The 6,000-nt window shown below is 35.0% G+C and overlaps 1 long non-coding RNA gene across 1 annotated transcript in view; it reads left to right on the forward strand.

The window, feature by feature from the left end:
- LOC102723879 (uncharacterized) overlaps positions 1-4,722 on the forward strand; it is a 78,954-nt gene extending 74,232 nt beyond the window's left edge. Inside the window, exon 4 of the long non-coding RNA XR_428991.3 lies at positions 4,431-4,722. This is a non-coding gene — a long non-coding RNA (uncharacterized LOC102723879). The remainder of the gene's footprint in view (positions 1-4,430) is intronic.
- Positions 4,723-6,000: the final 1,278 nt, after the last annotated feature.

A 6,000-nucleotide genomic window follows, 5' to 3' on the forward strand; every position in this document is an offset into this window, starting at 1 on the left:
TGCTTTCACTTTTGAAAGGTAGTTTTGCTGGGTATAAGATTCTGGTGGACAGTTTTTACTTTAAGCATCTTGAGTATGTTCTTCCACTGCCTTCTGGCCTACATTTTTTTTTCTGGCTAGAGGTCAGCTGCTTATCTTATTGGGGTTCCTTTATACTTGATGAGTAATTTTTTTTTCTCTTGCTACTTTTAAGATTTCCTCTTCATCTCTGGATATCAACATTTCATCTACGAAGTGTCTGTGAATCTCCTTGTGTCTATCCTACTTTGAGTTCCTCTGGCTTCTTGCATGTGCAGATCAAAGTTTTTCATCAACTTTGGGAAATTTTAACCATCACTTATTTAAGCATTTCTTCTGTTCCTTTCTCATTCTCTGTCCTTCTCTGATACTCCCATTACACATATATGGGTTAGCTTAATAGCAACTCATATTTCTCTTGAGTATCTGTTCATATATCTTCATCCTTTATGCTTTCTATGCTTAGTACATAATTTCCATTGATCTGTCTTCAGGTTTACTGGTTCTACCTTTTGCTAGCACAAATCTGCTGTCAAACCTCTCTAGTGAGATTTTCATTTGGGTTATCATACTTCCAGATCCAGCATTTCAACTTGGGTTTTTCTTATAATTTACATGTCTTTTTGGCAGGGGGTGCCGGGAGACAGAGTCTTGTTCTGTCGCCAGGCTGAAGAGCAATGGTTCACTGCAACCTCTGTCTCCTGGGTTCAAGTGATTCTCCTGCCTCAGCCTCCCAAGTAGCTGGGACTACAGGCATGCGCCACCACACCTGGCTAATTTTTGTAGTTTTAATAGAGACAGGGTTTCACCATTTTGGCCAGGCTGGTCTCAAACTCCTGACCTCAGGCAATCCATCCCTCTCGTCCTCCCAAAGTGCTGGGATTACAGGCGTGAGCCACCGCGCCCAGCCTACATGTGTTTATTTGTATTCTCTGTGTGATAAAACATTGTCATCAGACCTTCCTTTAGGTATTTAACCATAGTTTCCTTTGTTCCTTAAACATATTTATAATAGCTGCTTTCACACGTTTATCTTCTAAGCTTATCCTTTGGGTCCCTTCAAAGGCGACTTCTACTACCTGCTTATTTTCTGTGTATAGATAATAGTTTCCTGTTTCTTTGTATGGCTCATATATTTTTTGTGGAAAACTGAATGATATGCTGTAGAATCTCTGGATCCTGATTTTTCAACCCCTTCCCCACCCCCAGAGTTGTTGTGGTTGCTGTTTGCTTGGATATTTGCTTATTTGTTCAGTGACTTGGCTGAGCTAATCATGCAGTTTATTTCCACAGCAATATGTAGCTTATGATGATCTTGTTCAGATTTGTTTTCCCTCAGTTTTAGGTTTCCATCTGGCCACCTAGGTTTTGCCCCTGGGCATGCCACATATTGGTCAAAAGTTAGGAGTGTGTGTGTGTGTGTGTGTGTGTGTGTGTGTGTCTGTTTTAAAGCTTCCTAGCACACTTCAGGGAGTTTATGTATTTTTGCCTCACTTTCTGTTACTGATGATTACTAGTTGGGAGATTCTCTATTTATTCATGAGAGGACACTACTTTGGAAATGTACATAGCCTTCCAGACTGTGAGGGATGAGTGTGATTTATCAGTTTTGTTTAAGCTGCTTGTGCCAGTGACGGTTCGCCCTGTGTTGATGGGTCTGTGTGTAGACTGGGGAATGCTTGCAGTTCATCCCTGTATCCAGCTCTGATTTCTCCTGAATGGAGGTAACCTAGTACATGCACACAGACTTCCTGACCCAAAGAGTGATGGTGATCTCAGGAGGGCTCTTCTTAGCTGTTTCTTTTCTTGGTTCTTGCTATGAAACTTCTGGCTACTCCGTCATTTTTCTTGTATCATGGAGCTATCAGCCTTCTCTTACTTGCTCACCACTGAGATCTTCATTGTTTTGGACAAAACCTTTAAGCATGGAGTTCTCCACTCTCTGTACCAAATAAAGTTCATCCCCTCAGATAGAGCTGTGGAATTGTGCCCTAATGGCCTGCCTTCTCCTGGGCAGAACCCTTATACCATTGCTTGAAGACTGGGGGAAGCATTTGCTTTCTCCAGAATGACCCCTTTGCTCTATTGATGGACACCTGGATGGGTGGGAACCAAAGGTAAAGACATGAATTTAAAGTTTGTCTTATTTGCTATAGGTTGTTATAAGAGAAATTTCTAGCCTACTTGAAATTTTGTAAACTCAGTTTACGGTTTAATAATAATATGCATCTGTGACTTAGGGTTTTGTTTTCATAATGATGATAAAAATCTCCAAGTTTCTTATGTTTTTGTTTATTATGGTGCTTTTATTTTCATTTCAAACCTTTATAAGATACCAAGTAATTGTTAATGCATGCTTTTTAGAATAATTGCATAATTAATATGCTTTGCATGCAAATTTGTAGAAACACAGAAGTTAAATGTTGCCACTGGAAGGTTTTATTCCATTTTCCTCTAGATGTTAAAATGAATAAATTCTGAGCAAGCCATATATTCTCTAATGCTGGCTTTGGCCCTTTCTAATTCCGTATTATAATATCCAGATGTAAAAATAATAGTTTTAGATTACTTGTCCTTTCCAGTTACTTAGAAGAAACACATCTGAAAAAAAGATCATCTGCTCTTTCTAAGAAGGAATAAGAGGCAAACTAACGCATAAAAATAGGAAATGAGAACCATTTTGAAACTGGGTTCAAATTCCAGCACCATCACTTACCTGTTGTGTCCTTGTACAAAACTAAGCCTGAGCTTTCCTGTTGGCAACATATATGGGATAATATTTACCTGATAGGGTTTTGTGCATAAAATCAGATTATATATCTAAAACTTGTCCCTTAATACCTAAAAAAGAGAAAGTAACCTGATGATAGCTAATCATTAATTTGTCATTTTCAAGTCTACTTGCCTTCACTGATGGTATACTGGTTTAAGAAATTTGATATATTTACATATTAATTATGTCCGATGTAAACATTTTCTTACTTTAAAAAGTCCCCTTTATCTGAAATTCAAAGTATACATTTGTAAATTTTTAAATGAAATAACTCTGCAAATATGCTTGCTAATTTTCTGATTTCCAAAATAAATGTAAATCCACATAAAAAGTCTTATTTCTTTAGTGTGTAGCTCCAGCATTACGGAGTATTGTCCCATCTGCTAGTTTATCTTTGAATGTAAAATCAGAGACGCAGTTCCCACATAAGGAGTCCCTAGAGTAAGGCATTGTAAGGATAGATGAATAGAATGAGGGATGGATTTCAAAGATATTTGGAAACACCCATGCACTGTTCTAACCATTGAGATACCTTAATTCGTGACAGAGGAGCTTTAATAAAAGTTTTAGCATTTGACGTTTGCTTTGTTTTTTGTTTCAATATTTGAATTTATTCACACTGAACTATAAGCTCCATGAGAGTTGGATCATGCCTATTTCATTCACCATGGCAAACCCAATACCTCTCCCAGCACTTGACATACACTAGTCTTGATCAATATCAGTTTAATAAATAAATTTAATTATAATTATGTACTTTATTATACTTTATAAGTTTTAAACTTGCCATTTTTCCTCTTCTATAATCTGAATTTTATATAGAGGTTACAAATCTGAATTTCTGTTCACTTTGAACCTCTGTATTACTTAACAATATAATTTATGCAAACATATTTTTAGGAAGAGTAGCTTTATTTCTAATAGCCAAATATGGAAATAAATCAAATGCCCAGTAACAGATAAATGTATAACAAATCGTGGTGCATCTATTTCATGAAATGCTACTCTGTGATAAATCCATATACAAAATATTCCAAAAGAGACAAATTCTCCCATGTTTTGGAGGGAAAGTCTAAATCTCTTTAAACCTGAAATTAAATAAATTAATTAATAATATCCCATCAAATAGCAATTGGTTTAAGTCCAATGCCTTTAATAAGGAATACAAGTTCTTCCACTATCTGGCCCCTGGCTACTACTGTAGTTTTGTTACTGGGTACTTGCTTTTTCCATATTTTCATTCAATTTCATATCTTTATTTATATTTTTTTCTCAATGTGGAATTTCCTTTCTTGCTGTATCTGTAAAACTTCTACACAAAAAATACACATACTAATAAAGTTATTTATACTTAAATGATAAGCATTACCTTGGAATATGTCTATGGCATCTCAAGCCTGGGTTAGGAGTTGTCTGGGTTATTATAACACTCCGTGCACAGCTTGTTCATCATACTTCTCACATTTCATTATGGATATACCTTAAATAATCTGTTCTTCCACTAGGCCGTGAAGGTAGGAGTAAAGTTTCATTTTTCTCTGTATTTCTATAACTACTGCATGGCCTGAAGCAAGTCAGAGTTCTATAGTCATTGAGCTAATAAATATGAACTGATACATATCTCTTTCTAAATTCCTAGGAGAGAAGCCTGAAGAACAAAGCAGCCACAGATCAACAGGAGTATAGTTTATTAGAGGTTGGTTAGAGACTTTTTGCTAATGAGCTGTACTGTCCATAGGCATCATCATGGGGTTCTCAAATCTAATGATACCCATGCCATCAATTCTGAGTAAAGTGGTTACAAAAGAAACTGATATTTAATTTTTACTATAATAGAAAATGGCATGTATATGTGTCTTAATTCATTCAGTAGATGCAACATAGGGTAGTGGAATGATCACTTTCCTGTATAATTAATTGTAAGAGCTAGAGTTCATATAATCACTAATTATTAAAATAAAAATATTCTATCTCAAAAATAGCATTACCATAGCTTTTGTGGCTTTCTATTAATGAGTTATTTTCTCAATTTTTATATGTTTCAAATCTTCAATAACAATCAGAGCTGAAATAATAAACACTGGCTATTATTGTTCTAATAAATAAAATGGTTATTTTTGCATAATGAGTAAGAACGTAACCATTGGAGTCAGACAGGAGGAGTTGCTTATTTGAGTTATGACATTTACTGGCCATGCTACCTCAAAGAAATTAGACATTCTGAACCTCAGCCTCTTTATCCATAAAATAGAATAATAATAGTAGCTACTTCTTGGGATCACTGATAGGGATGGTAGGTTTAAATGGCACAGTGAATTCAAGAAAGTATTTGGGACAATGTCTGATAATTAGTAAATGCTCCAGAGTCCTAGTATTTTTTGTTATTATTAAAAAAAATACTGTAACTCACAATAGACATTAAAGGAAAGAGCACACAACATGAGGATAAGTTTAACAAACAGTGATAAAAAAGTCAATACCAGTGTCAAGAAAAAGCACAGCTAGGTCAAGAAAGAGAACCCTGATTGCAACCAAGGAGCCTTTGCTTGCGCCATCCTCATCACAACTTTATCTCTCCCCTTTAGCATTAGCAAGTATCCTGAATTGCATGAAAATCATTTCCTTGCATTATTTTAAAATTTTACTACCCACATGTATTTCTAAGCAATATTGCCTGTTTTTGACCTTTATACAGTAAAGTCATCTCAAAAGTCAACAATGGAAAAACAGAAATATCTAATTAGAAAACGGACAAAATAAGTTAAGATATTTCACTGAAGAGGATATAGAGATTACCAATAAGCATATGAAAAGGTGTTCAACATCACTAACCAATAGGGAATTAAAAATTAAGTCCATTATGAGATATCATTACACAACTATTAGAATAGCTAAAACTTAAAAAGTAGTGACTAGCAAATTTGAGTGAAGATGTTTATAAACTGGATCTCTCATATTTTATAGGTTCAAATGTAAAGTAATACAGCTTATCAATTTATTAAAAATTAAACATACTCTTATACAACCCAGCAATTGTACTACATTTATTCCAGGAGAATGAAAACTTATATCCACACGAAAACCTGTACATGATTGCTCACAGTAGCTTTGTTACCGCCCAAAACTGAAAACAATCTGGATATCATTCAAAGTGTGAATAATTAAATAAAATATGGTATATTCATACCATAGAATACTACTCAGTAGTA

Source organism: Homo sapiens, chromosome 11 (genome assembly GCF_000001405.40).
Source record: "Homo sapiens chromosome 11, GRCh38.p14 Primary Assembly".
Lineage (NCBI taxonomy): Eukaryota > Metazoa > Chordata > Mammalia > Primates > Hominidae > Homo > Homo sapiens.